At 45.6% G+C, this 18,947-nt stretch overlaps 1 long non-coding RNA gene across 1 annotated transcript; it reads right to left on the bottom strand.

The window, feature by feature from the left end:
• Positions 1–3,667: 3,667 nt before the first annotated feature.
• LOC105371316 (uncharacterized) lies at positions 3,668–15,285 on the bottom strand. The gene is made up of 3 exons (XR_933684.2): positions 15,071–15,285; positions 13,985–14,157; positions 3,668–3,717 (listed from the first exon to the last, which is right to left on the bottom strand). It is a non-coding gene; the product is annotated as an uncharacterized LOC105371316 (long non-coding RNA).
• Between the last annotated feature and the right edge of the window lie 3,662 nt (positions 15,286–18,947).

Here is an 18,947-nt window from a genome sequence, read left to right as displayed (position 1 = left end):
AGAGAAGGATCAGAACTGGAGTGAGAATGACTCCACAGTGACGAGAAGACAGGAGCAGGGAGAGGAGGGGAGCGTGGGGTCAAGAGAGAGTGTCCTCAGTTTAAGATGGGGGACTCAGGAGCAGGCACAATTGGGGGTGAGGGAGTTTTGGAGGAGGAAGGACAGGAAGCCATGAAGCCTCAAAGACAGAGGAGAAGTCTATGGAGCATGGGGTGGGATGGGGGCAAGTATGGTGCAAACATACGTGGAGTGGCTGGTTTATGGTCAAGACAGGGAAGAAGGGAAAGGTGGGACCAGTCGATGGTAGACATTTTTAGGGGCATACAGTTGACATCAAGATGAAGGAGTGAAGAAACAGGGTAGGAGGGCCATTGCCATCATGGCCCCATTTCTGTGGTCACTGGTGAATCATGAAAACCCAGACCCAGAAGACCCACATGGTACCAAAAACTTGGGTTGGGGTGGCAAATTTCTTTGCAAATTCTGGGACAAATAAAAACGTCCCCTTTCTAGCTAATTGCATGTTTATGGATCTAATTACCAAATTACAATGATGAAAGAGAGAATTCTTCAGACTTCAGGAAGTAACTTAGAGTGATAAATATCTACTCCTTTTCTCTCCTTACGTCTTAACTAAAAAAAAAAAAATAGCAAGACAAGTTGCTTGTATCACGTAATGTTCTTCATTTGCTGCTCCGCTATGGTTTTCAAAAATGGCATGCTGAACAAGTGTATTAATTCGAGTTTGAAGTCCTTTTGTACTAAAATATTGAGTACAGGAACATATAAAATTACACATTTTTGTTGTCTGTGACATAAGTTATATACCCAGACTGTCCAACATGACAGGAGACAATTTCATTTTCCTGACAAGAAATAAAGATGCCTAAACAGCCTGATAGTTAACATTATGAGTTGCAGTTAGACACTGGAACACTAAATTTGGAGCATGATAATAACTTTTCCAAGTGCCCAACTTATCTCCCATGCCTGCCAGCACGTGTACTTCTACATAGTTTATGGTTTTAATATGATTCTGCAGGTTTGTCCAAATCGTATTACAATGAATTCCCTTTCAAAGAAGATCCAGCTGAGTAATGAAGAACAATGTTTGCATTAAACTTAACGATGGATTTCTTGGGCTGAAATGAAACACTTGGATCTCTTGCATTTTGTTAGGTAGGGATAGAGAAGCTAATCAATTTGGTCATGTAAAACAGTTTATGACCTTTCGAACTCTGTACTTAACCACTGGAAGAAATGGAAATTTTCTATACTTTATTTTGGAAGAATAGAGTACCAATGGCATCAAAGATTTTATTCCAGAGATAGGAAGAGCATTCCATACACAATCACACACATGACCATCTCCTCTGTAATTGATGAGGTTATTCATTGCACACATGCACCTGGATTCCCAAAGAGCTCTTGGAGATTCTGCACAGTTTATTTAGGATGTGAAATCCCAGGATGATAACTGGGGGCCAGGAGGTGGGAAAACCCAGATGTGAGGTGGCATTGGTCAGGTGGAAACGATCTAGCAGCCAAGAGAATGGGCTTCCTGTCCCGGCCCTGACATAATGCCTGCGTGGACTTAGGCAGTTTCCTCCTTTGAAAAAATGGGAAATCAGAGGGTTAGAAAGTGCATATCCCCAAGGTTCCTCCCGACTCAGATATGCTAGGATTTTACAACGCTAGATCTGATTTCTGCTGCTTCTTGGATTCTTCAGAAAGTGGGAGGGGGGCTTTTAATGAAAAATCCAATCACACACTTTAGCGAGGCTCACAGATGAGGCAAGGGGAGTCAAGGGGCAGAAGAAAATAGGAGCCCTTCTAGGTTTTTTATTGTACTTGGGAGTTTCAGTTGGAAAGGGGCCTTTTCTTTTAAAAGCAAATTATTTGTAATGGGAAAAACTTACAGTTTGGTTTTTAGGCAGATCTGATCATTGGCTAAATATGCAGGGTGGGGAGTGGGTGTAGGGTATTGGGAGGAGTGCCTTCTATACTTTAAAGAACATTTATTACTTTCTTAAATTGCACAGTGGTAGCATTGTTGTAATATGAAGCAAGCAGTTGTCAAGAAGTTATTAAAAATTAGCAATGGGCTAAAAAATCCAAGGTGACAGATTGGTGCCCAGGGTGCTGGGGGAAAGAATAATTCACAGCCTCCAAGTGAAATCTCAGGTTGTTTGTTTCATTTCTAGAAGCATAATACAACATTTGCAGCATGTGTTGGGTAAATTAACCTCTTGTTAATTTTGGAAGCTGCTGTCAGCCCCTTCGCTTCCCTTTCTCGGCTTCAGTGATGAGGCCAACGGGTACAGGGGCATCCAGCAGTGTCTCAGGGTGTCAGCCTTCTCCTGGGTCCCCACAGGGGCCCTGCTACATTGCCCTCTGGCATGGAAGCCCCATGAGAGCAGGGAGTGTGTCTGTTTTGCATTTCTGGTTGCCTGGCACACAGTAGGCGTTCAAGAAATATTTTTGAATGTGTGACTTGCTTCCAAATTGGCTTTTGTTTGTGGCTTTATCCAGCTCCTGGGAGCTGTATCAGCATTAAGAGCAAGACAAGCTCTAGGAGATGAGGGGGTGAGGGATTGGGAGGTTTGTTACCCCTGATTCCCCTACAACAGACTGCCCCTAAGACGCAGAAGAGAATGGAGCCAGTGCAGGCCGTCTTTAGAGTTCTGCGTCTCCCATTTCTTCCTTAGCTTCCCTCAGTCCTGGAGGTCTGCCAGCTGGGTAGCTGGAGAAAGCCGACAGGATTGGCAGAAATGCACGTTTTATGTATGTCCCACATATGGAGTGGCAAGAACCACTCTCCCTTGGGGATTCCAGAATCTGTTCTGGAATTGGACTTCATCAAGGCCAACCTGGGGGCACCTGCGAGGGAAAGAAGCCACCATGGCCTGGCCTGGCCACAGCTTCCCAGAGGAAGCTCTGTTGTTTGGATGAGAAGTAATGTGTGTTTCTAGTCATACATTCTCATATGGACATTATTCGGCTTTTACTAATTGGCTTTACAATTTTCCCAGTAGTTAATATTCATCTGTCAAAAATGGAAGCATAAATAAATAACTTCGGTTCACGCGCACCTCTTATTAGGCCATACATCATGTTAGAAAGTTCGCATTCTTTAACCAGGAAGATGAAATTAGAAACATCTTGAAAAAGCCTTCTTGTTATCAATCATGTCATCTTGAACATGTTTCGAAGCTTGCTGCTGGCATCAAGAATAGATGTTTTATTCAAAAGAATGTATTTAAAGAAAATGACAGCACTTTTCGATTTCAGCTTTTTAAAAACAGGAAATCTTTCAAATCCTCCTGACTGTGAGCATTCCAGCGCCTTGGAAGATGTGTGGAGTGGCTCTAGCCTAGCTGCATAAGGGTGGAGAATTTCCCGAGCCTTTGCAACAGGTGTGGGACAGGAGCCGATCATGATTCAGCAGAAAGTCTTGGTTCTTGTGTGTCTTGAAAAGGTTACTTGCCCTCTCTGGATTTCAGTCTACTTATTTGTAAAATGGAGAGGTTGTGCAAGATTAACGTCAGAGCTCAGGCTGCTATAACAAAAATACAGAATTGGGTAGTTTAGACAATAAACATTTATTTCCTGTAGTTCTGGAGGCTGGGAAGTTCAAGATCAAGGTGCCAACAGATCTGGTGTCTGGTCAGGGTCTGCCTCCTAGTCTGCAGATGGCTGCTTTCTCCTTGTGTCCTCCTATGGAGGAGAGCAGAGAGAAAGATCCCATGTCACCTCCTCTACCCTCATGACCTCATCTAACTCTGATTGCTTCCCAAAGACTCCATCTCCAAATACTCTCATATTGAGGGTTAGGATTTCAACATATGAATTTGGGGGAGACACAAACTTTCAGTCCATAACAATTAATGTCCTCTCGGGATAGAGGAGGGTAGCACTGGGTTCTCAGAGCACCAGGAGAAGGAGGCAGTAGACAACTTCATTCATCATTCAAGTAGATTCTGCACAATTTTCCCTGATATGTGTTTGCTTAAAACAGAAAAGTTGACTGTAAGTTACCCACATTGAATCCACTGACCTTTGTAAAACCTGCCTTGCTCCCAGCATCTTTTCCTGCCCCGGCTCATGTGTATTCCTCCCAGGATGGGGAAGGCAGGATGAGACATTCTCCATTGTTCCTCCAGCTCAGACCTCTGACTTTAGGGGGCTTGCAAAGGTGCAGGTGGCTCCAGGTATCCAGCCATCCCCTTCCAAGAGGGGCAGGATTTATCCCCAACCCCAGCCACACTTCTGTAGTTGCCTCCACTAAGTTCCACAGCACAGTGTGTGTGGTAAGGTAATCCCTGATCCAGGAGAACAACCCCTGGTCCCAGCTCTACCCCACTATCCTTTACAACCTTGGGCAAGTCATTTCCCCTTGTCTGGGCCTCACTCTCCTCATCCATGAAAAGAGAAAGTTGGACAGATCAATCTCCAAGAACTCAGATTTAGGAATCACCCTGGGAGTTTAAAAGATTGTGAGGGCCGGCCGGGCGTGGTGGTTCACACCTGTAATCCCAGCACTTCAGGAGGCTGAGGCGGGTGGATCATGAGGTCAGGAGATCGAGACCATCCTGGCTAACACGGTGAAATCTCATCTCTACTAAAAGTACAAAAAAATTAGCCGGGCATGGTGGCGGGTGCCTGTAGTCCCAGCTACTCGGGAGGCTGAGGCAGGAGAATGGCATCAACCCCAGAGGCAGGGCTCGCAGTGAGCAGAGATCTCGCCACTGCACTCCAGCCAGGGCGACAGAGCGAGACTCCGTCTCAAAAACAAACAAACAAGATTGTGAGGGCCTGGATGTGTTTCTACAAAGCAAATAGAACTCGATCTATTTCCCTAAAACCCAGATCTCATGGGAGCAGTGCTTTCCTTATCGCAGACAGTTTAGAATCTGTGCATCTGTCAAATGAATCCAGAAAACGGAGATGCAGTCCTTCAGGTCCAGGCCTCTGGCCACCACCCAAGGCCATTCCAGGGGCAAGAACATTCAAAACTTTTTCACCCTCCCATGGTCCTGAAGAATAAATACCAGAGTCCACAAATGCCACTCAATTGGCATTCAATGATCCTAGAGTATTGGACATAGAACAAACATCAAATACCTCCCCAGAGGGAGGAATTCACTGGCTGGTGGTCATCACAGGTGTTGCCAGCGGTGGGACTAACACCCAGGGATCCCAGCTCCCTCTCCAGGGTGCTCTCTACAACCTGAAATTTGCTTTTTGTTGAAGAACGTTAACACAATTCCCTGAAATGCACAACTTAATTTTGAATTCTTTCTCTTCTTGATGCATAAATATAAAGTCATAGTTTGTAAAAATACATAAACACCGAAACTACACTTCAAGCCATATGCTGCTAACCACACCCATCTGCCACCCCAAATTTCCAACATGACTGACTGTCAAAAACTCATCATGGGCAGCTTGCCAAACACTTCACAGCCAAACCTTGTTGACAATTAATAATGTTAAGGGTGTCTATGACATCCCATATTAGTCAAATGGATTGATTTATGACAAACCTGTCTCCTCCACCCTACCCTATTTAAAAACGGAAGGCATGGGATTGAGTTACTAAGAGTTGCAGCCAGGATAGAGATGATTAGGACAAATTCTTGCTCCTAAGAGCCCAGTCTGGCAGGACAGAGATGCCTTGCAAGCAAGATTTGATAATATCAGACAGACTAAGAAAATTCACAAAGTGCTCCTGGGCCTCAGCAGAGCACGAAGCACTGCTGGCAGGCAGATTGTGAGGAGGGGGGAGAGGCATCCGAACCAGCCACGGAAAAGAGGAAAGATTTAGGCCCAAGTAGGTGTATGACTTGAGGCCCAAAGGCGAGAATGCACAGTGGACATTCGAGGAACAGTGGGTGCAAGTGGAGCTAAGATTGGAAATGGCTGATGGAAGTCCAACTTTAAGGGTCTTAAATGCCAGGGCAATGACTTTAGCCCTCACTGAAGAAGCAACCAAGGTACTATCATAAAGGCAATTGACAAAGAGGGAAAAATATAGACTTTGGAGAAAGACAGTCTGAGGTTCAAATCTTGGGTATTCTGCTTTTCAGCTGGTGACTTTTGGCAAGTCACTTAACCTATTATCTCTATAATGGGGGCACAAATCTGTATTTTATAGGATAGCTCCTCTAAGTTATGTATCACTTTTTTTCACTAGTGAGAGCTAATATGTATTGTTGTGTATATATCGTGCATTGTGCTAAACTTTACATGACTTACATCATTGACTCTTCAAAATGACTTTCTGTGGTAGATGCTACTATTATTGCATTTCACAGATAAGGACACTAGGACTGGGAACAGGGATCCCTGATTCATACTGCCCATGGTCATAGAGCTTTCCACCTATGCAAGGATGTCAGGGAGTTGCCCACAGCCAAATGCCATCACTCAGCACCCATGCCATCTTAGGAAGAGCCAAGCATGGGCTAAGTGAGCATTTCACATGAAATAACTCCAAAATCTTTGCAGCTGCCCCAGGAGAGTGGCATATTGCCTCTCCCATTATATGGATGGGGAAGGTAAAGTCCAGGGAGGATGAGTACCTGTTCTCACCAGACAGCTTGGACCTGGGAGGCTACGGTCTGGTTCATTGACTTGCACTGCATTGCTTGCCCAGAGATTACAGTTTAATTGCTTTGGGTGGAGTCTGGCACTGGTATTTTTAAAGCTGCCTGGGTGATTCTGATGTGCAGCTGGGACTGAGAACCACTGGCCTGGTGGCAAAGCTCAGCTCTTGACCAAGACTTTAAAAAGGAAAAAATCCAAGCACTTCTCTAGTCATGGGGTCCATGGATTCCCAAACCTAAATCTTTGTTCAGGAAACAGACTGGCTTCAAACAAAATAAAGTCTGAATCACACTGCTATACTAGTATTGTTTTGTTTGTTTGTTTTAAATAAAGGCAGAAGGAGAGATTTTTTTCAGTAATTTAGATATCCTGGTACATTAACAGGAGTGCCCAGGGCAAAAGAAGCTTTTACCCATCTGTCAAGTTTGTGTCATCACCTGCCTGCACAACAAATTTTATTTTCTAAAGATATTTAAAAGAATATGAATTGTGGGGCTTCTGAAAACTAGAAAGTATAGGCTAGTACGAGAGAACAAAACAAGTTTTCAGCTTCATTTCTCCCCTTCGAGAAAAGAACTACTATCTGAGGGCTCTTGGATAAAACAGAAAAGAAGCTTTGATTTTTGAATCTTCAGAATTAAGGAGATCAGTCCTGAGGATGATTTGGGATGTGTAGGTTCACCTGGCTCCTTTCTTCTGTTTTTTGGGGTAGTTGCTTTTCCAAGTTAATCAAGGAGTCTGTCTCCGTGCGTTGCTGCCCCAGCCCTCTTTAGGACCTGCACATCGTGCAAGTTAATAAACTTCTTTCCTTCCCTAAGCCTGCTCTCCTGGCTTCTCTGTCCCCATGAACTCAGGACATGTTTGGGCACCATGTGAATAGACCTTTCTGTGCTTTTCAGAGGAGGTTGTGTTGTCACCTTATTGACACTTCCAGGAGGGGAGGCCATAAGGCTGCCTCCAGGATCAGGTGTGAGATGCTGAGATTCCTTCAAGTCATGAATTTCAAGAAACCGGTGAATTGTTTGGGTGCGTGGCATGAGTCAAGGCTCAAAGTGGATCCAGCTTTTGCCAACGAGGTCTGCCCATGCTGTTGGATAGTGTTCTGTGGTCTGTTCAGAGGTCAGGTTTGATGTCACCAAAGAGGCTTTGCCTGGGAAGGGGTAACTTCCAGCCTCCCCCTTGAAGGAGGGGTGCCTGCCTCAGTGTGAAGACGATAAAAAAACCTGATGGTAACAATATTAACTCTAATGATGATGATAATAATAACTGCAACTAGTTGTAAGTCTAGCACTGTGCTAAACACTTTGCAACTATTATTTATTTTAACTCTCACCACAATCCTCTGAGGCGGGTTTAGTTTTATCCCCATTTAACAGATGAAAAAACTGAGGCTTAGCTTAGGATATTCAAGTAGATGGTCTCAGTAAGTCACAGAGCCATTTGCAGCCTGAGTCTTTTCATTTCTAAGGCCTGCGACCTTTTGTCCCTCAGGAGTACAGATGTAGAAAGTTGTTTTGTAAATTTAGTTGACAGCTGCCTCTTGAGAACTTCCTGAGATTGGCTCAGATTTTGTTCTGGAGAGAGAGGAGAGACACACTGCCTCTTCTGCATGACACCTCTTCGGAGGGAAGCGGATCATTCCCCTCCGCTCTCGTGTTCTCTCCTCTGTCAGTTAGATAACATTGCTTCCTTCAAAAATTTCCTGCTGGGCCCTTCACAATCTTATGCTGTAGTCCATCTGATCAATATTTCTCTTAAAACCTTACTAGTTCCAAATATAAAACTAAACACACAATCCCACTAGTGGCATTTTTTTAAAAGCAAGAAACTGCAAGGCATGAAATGTTTGAACTACATGGAATCTTAAAGACAATTTTATCCAAACTCCCCATTTTATACATGAGACAACTGAGGCCCGTAGAGGGGAGCAGACTGTCCAAGGTTGGGGAGCAAGTTAGTTGTAGATCAGCACCCCTACATATCAGCCTCAGTTTACTCATCTCTAAAGTGAGGCACATAGGGCTGCTGGGTGGATGAAATGCAGTTGTCCCATGACATCCTTAGCTCAGTACTCGTTACACAGAGGCGACTACATCCTGGGGAGAGAGAATGCAGGCAGGACCATCAGAGGGATGGGGAAGGATTCAAGAGAGAAAAGCAATGGGACCTGGGCTGTGGGAGGGAGAACTGCCAGGGCTGAATGACTCCCAAGTTTCTTCGTTTCAACTCCCATGAAATGAGTCTCAAAGGATGAATAGGAGTTTATCCAATGGGCAGGGTGGGGAGAGGCTCTGTGCCTGGACAGAGTGGCCTGTGGGCACCTGTAGAGCCGGATGTGTTGAGACACGCTACGCACATCATCTCTTGGACTTTGGTTTCCCCAGTGGAGCACAGACAATCATGAAACAGGCATCTTAGAAGCAATAACAGCTACAAAAACACCAGGGAGAGAAAATGAAAATCAATGCTTGAAATAGTGTTCGAAAGACATTTCAATACCTTTGTTTGCTGACATCTCATGAGCTCCATCCAGAGCCTCTGAGTTAATGAAGTTTAAGCAGCTGTCCTCTTCCTTGACATGGTTTGTCCCTGATGTCACCTAAGCTGTGGTCCTGATTGCTGTCCAGAGAGCAGTCCCCTAGCTCTCCTTCGGAGCTGCCTCTGTTATGGCTGTTATCATCTGATGCTGGATTGGAACTGGAGTTGGTGGGAGCAGTAAGACCCATTATCAGAGGCCCCAGAGGGTTTCCAACTATTCATTTGTTCCTCCTTCCAAATTACATTTTAATCAAAATTTACAAACATGTTAATTTCTGGCCAAACTGCAGCAGTATACAGAAATGCCATTTATTTTGGAGTGCTAAACCAAAGCCTCTTTTCTTTGTCCTGCTTTGTTCTTGTTTTTAAACTTTCATTTGTCCCAATTCCGGAGCTGATCCCAGGTGTTGAGATTCCAGGCCTAGGAGCTCCCTTCTGAAAAGGGTGTGTGTGTGTGGAACTCTGCACAGACTCTCCGCTCCTCAGTAGCAGAGCTGAGTTGGTAACTTGGAACCAGTCATGGCTGAAGCTTGCACACTGGCAAATCTGACTTTCTGCCCATGTCCCCAACAGGGATGCTTTAGATATGCAGGTCTGAGTGTCCCAGTCCTGCCTAGTCATCTCTCCATCACACCCTTCCCCACTGTACAGCAAACTATTGGCACATTGGAAACCATGGGAGTACTTCACCCAGAAATCTGGCCTCACACACTCCCTGGGACCAGAGAGTTTGACACCATGGGATCTCAAGGTGCCACGAGTGGTCTGTTTTCTCCATGTTGCCTTGAACTTGCCCAGGTGAAGAATTAATTCCCAGGTAGGATAGGCTGCACAGCATCCAATGTAAAGCCTGCCCTACACTTTAAATAAACTCTGCGTGTGCAGTGTCAAATCACTTCATCTTTCCTACACCCTTGGTGGCCCAGAAAGGTTCAGACATGTGCTTGCAGTCACACAGCCAATGAGGGATGGATCAGGATCAAGAAACAGGAAAGTTGCCCGCAGAGGCAGTGGGTGAGCTTAACCTTGGTGTGACTACTGTTCTCGGGGAGTGACTGTGGCATGTCTACACCATGTTAGTTACTGAAGAATTAGGACTCATTTTCTGAAATACTCGTGAGCTGCAGAAAGAGTGAGGGGGTCACCCTGCAAAGGCTGGGGCTCTCTTGAAAAGGGGTGCAGGCAGCTAGTTGGGGAGGGGGGCTACCAGAGGAAAGAATCTCCAATGGGGAGGAGCCCCAACATCAGGCCCTGGAAGGAAACTCTCAAATGACTTGAGTTCACTAGCCTGGAGGAGGGAGAGTAGAGAAATATCTGAACTGGTTTAAAGAATCCGTGGAAAAGGAATTAGCTAGTTATGCATGTCCCAAGTATGGAGCCATTACATAGCAGCAAATTCTGTTTTGATATAAGGAAGGACCTTCAAGTGTTTGTGATACCCAAATGTGGAACTACCCGACTCAACTGGTAGTGAGTTTCCTGTCACTGGAGCATCCTATCAAAACTGAAACCACCTGCCTTACTTAATGAAAATTTGAGTACTCACTAAGTGCACTGGGGTTGGGAGCAATGACAGCCTTTTAAGTGTAACATAAAACTGAGCCAAGGTTTTAATTAATCCCAGGACTTTGGGAGGCTGAGGAGGACGGATCACTTGAGGTCAGGAGTTTGAGATCAGCCTGGCCAACGTGGTGAAACCCTTTCTCTACTAAAAATACAAATTAGCCAAATACAAATTAGCCAGGTCGTGGTGGCACATACTCATAATCCCAGCTACTAGGGAGGCTGAGGGGGGAGGGTCGCTTGAACCGGGGAGGCGGAGGTTGCAGTGAATGAGATAGCGTCACTGCACTCCAGCCTGGGCAAGAGAGCAAAACTCTGTCTCAAAAAAAAAAAAAAAAAAAAAAAAGGAAAATGCAGGATGCAAAAGTATGCATACATCATGACCCTAATTATGCACATACATTTATTTATTCCCTATTTGTCTCATAAGAAGTATTGAAGACAACATGGATGAACACACCTGCATACGCACCCCGTATGCCTAAACAAGTCTTTGAAAATGTGAATGGTTATTCCTGGGTTGTAGGATTGTGGGTATTTTCAGTTTTTTACTTTATTTTTTTTTTCCAGTATTTTACAAGTTTAAAAAAAATGTCTCTATAACAAAGTGGGAGCCCCCAGAAGATCCGAAAGCAGTTGTTGGAATGCCTTAGGGACTCAGTGATGATTAGTTCCCTCTCTGCCTGCTTTCTCCCCATCTGCTTACCCCTACCAAATGAGCAGATCATGCAGGTCATTCTAGACAATGGGAAGTCAGTGCTCTCAGAGGGTCTCATGCCCTCTAGGGGTCCTGGGGCCAAGAAGCCGCTAGGGGTGCAGACCACCTGACCACTGATCATTCTTCTTTTGACGCAAACAAACAAGCACCTTCCCCAGGTTGAGCCAGGATCCCACCAGGTGTGAACCTAAGGAAGTGCTTGTCTGTCACTCTGGAAACTGGCTCAGGAAATCCCAGGTCTCTGAGAATGACTTCCAAACTCAAAATGCCTTGTTAAACACAGTTGCTCTGAATTCATCAGCTCAAGCCAAGCCTTGTCATAATCTCCAGAATCACAATGACTGAAACAGGGGGTGCTGATACCTCCGGTGTGCACATCAGGTTTACTTATACTTTTATAAAGAGGTTATTTGCAAAAGTGCAGTTAATCCCATCATGCTTTATAATTTAAATGTCACTACAAATGATGGCTGACATGCAACTGATTAACAGCAGCCTTTAGTGCCAAATTAATCAGCATCTAATCCAGAGGATGTATTAAGATGGAATAAGATTTTAAAAAAACATTCCTCCTTCCCAGCCCTCTCTGCTGTTATTTCAATAGAATGCCCAACTTTCCTATGCAGTTTGGGAGTTTGACTAAAAGGTATGTTTGAGTACTTTTCTTACATAGAAAGGACGCACAAATGATAAATTGTCAAAACAGAAGTGTGATTATCCCCTTTGGGGGAACTGAATTCCCTCCTCTTCCTTTGATGTGGCTGGGACGACCTGTCAATCATTCTGCCCAAAGATGCCTGATGGGGGAGATGGGTGAAGCCACATCCATCTATCTCCCAACATTCTAGAAAGATAAGCCATGTGTTGACAGTCCCAGGAGTTCCGGTCCTTCTGAAGGTATAATACATTTTTGATTTTACCTTTGATTCTGTGAGTGACCCTGTGTCCTTGCAATAAACTCTTTTTTTTTAAAGAGTTAGCCAGTGCTTGTTTTTATTGTTTGACAAAAAGAGTCTTGATATAAATGTGTTGAGGGAAAAGGATTCTAAAGTATTGAAAAGTTCTTTAAACAAACAAAAGATTAAAGAGTTAAAAGAGCTCTCCTCCCCAGGATTTCTACTAAAAATAAACAATATTTTCAAGGAAAACATGCTGAAAGAGTGGAGGATTTTCTCATGGGTCAGCTGCCATCTAGGTGTAAGTGAATTTTTCTGCCTTCCTTATCAAAGAGTCTTAATGATATTCTTCGGTACTTCCTGATTCTTAAACAAGGCCCTGGGGCTGGAGAACAGGCATCAGCCCTAAGTGTACATTTTAATTTCCTTCCTGAAGTTTTATCTTTGTTTTCCAGCATCTTTTGCCGTTCCTAACTCTGGGACCTTGGGATGTTACCTATTCCTGCAGGTGAGATCTCCTTCCTTACAGCCCAGGAGTGTAGGAGCCAGGGTGAAGTTCCAAGGGTAACTCTTACCTTCTAGTCTGGGAGAGACAAGATGAGACTGCTGACCTCCGTGGGCCTGATTGCCAGGCAACCCTCCGGCAAGGTCACCTTTCCTACCACCTCCGGCTATTCATATCTAAAAACCTTGTTCTCTTCCTTTTAAATGCATTTCCAAAGGTTATAGTACATGAAACAGAAGACTTAGCTCTCTGAGAGCTCAATTTTGACTTTGTAAAATTGAAAGCAATGGCTCCTATGTGGGAAAAAAAATGTCTCTTGAAACAAAATGAATAATTACATCATGCGTTCGTGATTATTACCAACATGTGTCAAAAGTGGAACTCACATGTCTTTACCATAATCCCCCATATTCAGTCTCCCACCTGCCGGAAGCTCAGTATTCTCAAAGAGGCAGCTTTCCCACTGGAAAGATGTGACTTCTGGGTCTTGAAGGCATAAATCTGTACCCAGAGGTGCTATGTATCCACGATGGTGGTTTTTAAACTTTATGTTTTTCTTTTTCTTTTTTTCTTTTTTTTTTTAAAGCAGCAGAACCTTAAATGATATATTATGCAAACACAGACCCTATTTACAGCTGGGGCAGAGTAAACAATGATTTCCAACAAGTGAAGTTTAGCTGACCTAGATATTTGCATATCTTTAAATAATATTCCGATTCTTTATTACTTTCACTGTGGAAGGTGAAATGTTGATGTTGTGCTTCTCTGCCTTGATTGATCTCTCTCTTTTTTTGTTTTTTTTTTGAGATGGAATCTTGCTCTGTCACCAGGCCTGAGTGCAGTGGTGCGATCTTGGCTCACTGCAACCTCCGACTTCCTGGTTCAAGCGATTCTCCTGCTTCAGCCTCCTGAGTAGCTGGGATAACAGGCATGCGCCACCAGGCCCGATGATTTTTGTATTTTTAGTAGAGACGGGGTTTCACCATGTTGGCCAGGATGGTCTCGATCTGTTGACCTCGTTATCCACCTGCCTCGGCCTCCCAAAGTGCTGGGATTACAGGCTTGAGCCACCACACCCGCCCTGATCTCTTGATTTCATAGGTCAAGGTAGAGTGGTTACCTGTGACTCAGATAAGCACTCTATTCAAAGCCTACCTGCTGGGATCACAAGAGACCATGACCCAGTCATCCTCATCTTCCTCTTTTTGACATAACCAAGTTTCACAGAAGTTCCTGGTCAAGTAATAATGATGCCCAAGTTGGATCGAGTGCTTGCTGGGTGCCAGACACAGCTGCATTTGCCATCTTATGCAGTGCTTACAACAGTCCTAGAAAGGAGGAATTATTTTACTATGGACATTTTACTGATAAGCAAACTGAGGTTCAGAGAGGTTGACTAACTCACACAAGATCACACAGCAAGTAAGGGGCACCCTGCGATCTGTACCCTGGTGGAGAACTTTAGAGCCACACTGGTAAGCACCACCACCTGGAGCTCCGCAAACCCTAACTGGGTGCAGCAATAGCAAGTCCTCTTTCCCCTTTCCGCTTCCTTCCCTTGCGGTTCATCTCTGTTCTTCCCTTCTCTCCTTCTCCCTTGCTTGGAGACAGCCTGATCAATTTCTTCATCTTACTAGGAGCCCCAGGGGCTGCTGACACCCACTGTCTCTTTTGCTTAAATGGAAACATCACCAGGGCCAGGTCCTGGCATGCACTCTGGGAAAGATAAGGTGGAAAGTTTACACACCAGAGCTTCCAAGGAATGTGCAGAGAAAGCGATTTGTGATGTGTGATTTGAAACACCAAACTCCTTCTGGGCTCAGAGCTATGTCCTACCTCTGGGAGCTGCTGGATCCGTCTCTGCCCTCATGGCTGGGTCATGCGTGCCTATTTTAGGAGGAACTCTCCTTTTAAGGGGAGTCCAGCTGGCGGATGTTCCTCTCCAGCTTCCTGCAGTCCCAGACACTGGGCTTCTGCCAATGTCAGCCTGAGGTGGAAGCCATGCAGGCAAATAGTTTGCCCAGGTCCTGATGCTTCCAAAATCCTGTTGGTCCACCAAATTCCTTCTTCCCATTGTGCCCCAAGGTTGCTTCCGCCCACTGCATCCCAATGTTTCCCCTCTTCCACTGTACCCCATGGCTGCTATCATAGGCCTCCCATCTCCATCTAAATGTAGCCTGGTCAGATGGAAAAGGGGAGGCCCTGACAGCAGGAAACCTGCTCCCACATCCCTTCCTTTACCTCCAGTTCCGACACAGCACAGGGCAGGGCTGGACCCAAGCTTAGGTTCAGCAGCAGGCTCAGGGGTGGCGCACTGGGGCTCTAGCAAGACCAGGTCTGGAGATGAGCCTGGGGGCAGCGAGCATACTGGTAGCGTCTGTAGCTTAGGCAGGGAGGTCACATGACAGGAACCAGGCAGCCCTGTGGACCTGGGCAGGCAGGAGAAGAGAACATGAATTTTTAGAATATAGGATGTGGGAGGCAGTCAGAGGTTTCCAACCAGCACTTCGTTTCATTTGTCATGACAGAATGGACCCTAGAATCTTTAATGTCCCTAGAATGACCTTAGAATGTCTCCTGATTCCAGTGGCTTTTACCTCTTAACCCTTTCCTTGCTCACTCAAAGTGAATTTCCCCATCCCTCTTCTCAGATGACATGTGGCTTATTCCAGCCATCCCAGCACAGTCCATCCTGTCTCCATAGTGAAGACTTAGGCATATTTCCTGTGCACTCCCTTTCTCCAGCTCAACTCACCATGGGTCATCAAGCTCTTTAATGGCGGGGGGGCTGGATCCCAGGCTTTTGGGAGCTGTACCCAGCAGTCTGGAGATCCTGGTGGGTATGGGTACCTGCGGAGAGTCAGCAGCATCACCAGATGGCAGAGAGCCTAGTGCCAGTGGCCAGAGGGCAGGAACAGGGTCAATGACTGGAGCTGCACAGCGGAAGCAGGTATCGGAGGGATGCACATGGAAAGCCTCACTGTTGGTCAGAACTCTCCGGCAGCAAGTGGCAGAAACCCGCCTTCATCTGGGTTAAGAGATAGAGGGGATTTGTTGGAAAGCACTGGGGTAGCCACAGATGGGAGGAAAGAGTTGCTTTCCATATATCCCTCATTGCTCCTGGGCCCCCTTCTCTCATCCCCTAGAAGCACTTGTCTGGAAGGGCCCTGGAAGTGATGCCTCCTAACACACCATGCACTGGGCATCTCACTCACTTCATCTTGTCCCAGCCCTGGCAGAAAGCCCCAGCCACACACCCCTAGTCCTCCAGCTCCAGCTGGAAACATCTCAGGGAAGGACCCTGTTGGCTTGAGTCACATGCACAGCTTGCGTCTCAGTTTGCCTCAGACTTAAGTGGCTGGTGGAAGTGAGAGATCTCTAAAGATTCACCCAATCCCATTGTTCTAAGGTAATAAATCCTATAATTGCTGTATCCTCAGAACCCAGCACGGGGCACTGCATACGGTAGATCTGCTTAACCATGTACCAAATGCATCCGCCTCTTCCCCAACATCCATTACTACTGGAACCCACCAAGAACTGAATTCCATGGTACTTCTCAGGATTCTTGAGGTCTGGACTAAGCCCTGGATTGGGAAAGACGTGTTTATGATGCAGACCAGTTGGGGAGATTTTTCTTGAAGGAGCAGCAGCTTGGGAATAGCTGACCTGGTGAGAGCATTCCTCTTCATCTTGGCTCTGTCTGCTGTAGTTGGGGGTGAGTAGGGGTTTCAGCAGTAGAGGAATGGGAGCCCAGAGAGACGGTGATGAATGAGAAGGAGACAAACAGCTCTAGCCTGTGTGCTCCTGTCTTGTTGAGGCTGAGGGCCTGCAGGGACATTCTGAGTGAAGAACATGCCAGGCCCACCTGTGGACTCCAGTCGCTGGTGATGAAGGTAGCCAGATGTGGGTGTCGGTTAAAGGTGAGGGCTTGGGGGAGGTGGGAGAACAACCCACCGTCATCTCAGCCCCATTTCCCCTTTAGGAGGCTGAGAAGGGCTAATTAGAAATTTTGCCATCAGAGAGAGCAATGAGGTTTCCTACAATAGAGTCACAGTGTGAGCACCTGAGGTTGAATGTCCTTGGACCAGCTGAGCCTCAGTCTTACCCTCTGTAAGATGGACATGATGGCACAATCTACCTGATAAGGGTATCCCTGAATAGTAAGTGCACAAACATTAAGCTTAATTTCAGTCATTCTGTCATTTTTGATTGAGGCATTGCTTTGTGAAAAGTTCTATCATAAATTCACAATTTCAAAACTGAGCGTGTGGAGCTCTGGACTCTTGGAGTGACTGCCAAGGCCAAGGTTGGGGGCGTAAAATGAGGGCATCAGCGTGAGTCTGAGCTCTGTCTTCTGATTTCAGCCAGGCCAGCTCCACTCACACAGGTTTTCTGGGTTGGGGCTCCCTGTCAGATTTCATGTGCTGCTCTAAAGCCTATCCACAACTGACAGCAAAGTAGAAGGAACATGGGATCTGCATCAGCCTGTTCAGGTTCTTGCCCAGCAGCTCCACTGTATATGGTTGTGTGGAGGATCAGGATGCCGATGTCCCAGGATCTGAGATGAGTGCTCCTCTAAGTGAGCCCAGTGACACCCATAGAAACTGTGGGAGGTGGGGTGGGCGCCTCCTGCCATCTGGATGCAGTAGCTAGAGCTCAGCTAGGGTGGGTAACTTATTTAGGGTCCCATGGGTAGTAAGTGTGGGGAATTGAGATTCAAGTCTGGAAAATTCTCAGTTCCCGGGACATATGCTACTGAGCAGCCTCTCACCTGACCTCAAGCCTGGTGTGGCTTTTTCTTTAGTTGACAAAGAGGCACTGAATCTCTGTTAATTTGGGGAAGGCACTGCATCTCTTTGTTAATTTCCCTGCTCTGGCTCTTCTCTATCCTGCCTTCCACTCCATTCCTCCTCCTTCAACTTCACCTCCCATTTTCATCCGTTCTCTGCTCAGTTTTCTTTCTGCTTCATCCATGACCTCCTGGAGGCTCCTGGCTTATTATCTTGGAATGACCGAGGACAAAGAGGTCTGCTTCATAAAATTCGAGGGTCCCTGTTAGCACTGAACTTGACATTTGCACCCTATCTGTATCTGATGGGTTCTCTTCCCTCTGTGCCCTACTGTTCCACAGCTAAGCAAACCTCCCCAGGTCCAAAATTCAACTCTGTGTCCCATTTAGTGAATAAGACGATGCTTCTTTGGTGACCCATCCACACCAGGGTGGGTCCTGGTATTAATAATAAAAGATGTCCCAGGTTCCATTGAATCCATTAATGTTTCTAACTTAGCTGACTCATTGTGTAGAATATGCATGACTAATCCATCAAAAAAGAGAATTCTCACATTGCAAATTTTTGTATGTTTATAAGAAAGTTAGATTTTCTTGTGCTTTTCTCCCCACAGCACCTGTCATTCTGGATAAGGATAGCATGTTCATAAAAGGGAAATGAGTGGAGAAGGAGGGAAGGAGTTGTGAGCAAAGCATTTAAAGCGTTGCCAGAATATAAGCAACAGTGCTTCATGTCGTGAAAAACTGAGAAAAGGAGTCTTTATGTACAGGAAGAACTCAGCAGCTGACCTCAAGAAGAAAGGAAAACATCCTCTCTTCACTTTTCTCTGGGATGCCTGTGCCCAGGGTCTTGAGTTTCCGACTGGGGCATAATGGATTTTTGGTGGCCTGTGACTTTATTATGGGTCTTTTCCCAAAGTGTTTTGAAATGGTATGAAAGAGTGTATTCAGTTAGAAACCTTGAGTTCTACTCCCAGGCTACTTAGAGGTTGTTTTGCAAACTTGAACAAGTCAAGTAAACCTGACTTCAACTCTACGCAATGGATTATGCAATGGTTGAAGTTCTAAGCTTGGAAGTTTCCAATGAGAACAAATAGGGGTGGTGAGAGCTGCCCTGCCCCTTTCAGGGACATTAAGAGGGTCACCAGGCAGGTGAATGTGACAGTGCCCTAAAGTTATGAAGAAATCTGTGCAAAACTGTATGTTGTTATAGTTCTTCTTGGGGCTGATGCACCGTGACCCCTTCAACAGTTGATGAATCATGGGATAATTGTTGATGAGTCATGGGATAGGTGCTGCTTCAAGGGATGTGGATGTAGGTTGGAC

Source organism: Homo sapiens, chromosome 16, assembly GCF_000001405.40.
Source record: "Homo sapiens chromosome 16, GRCh38.p14 Primary Assembly".
NCBI lineage: Eukaryota > Metazoa > Chordata > Mammalia > Primates > Hominidae > Homo > Homo sapiens.
Note: the sequence above shows the minus strand (reverse complement) of the source record. Positions and strands in the feature narration are given on the sequence as shown.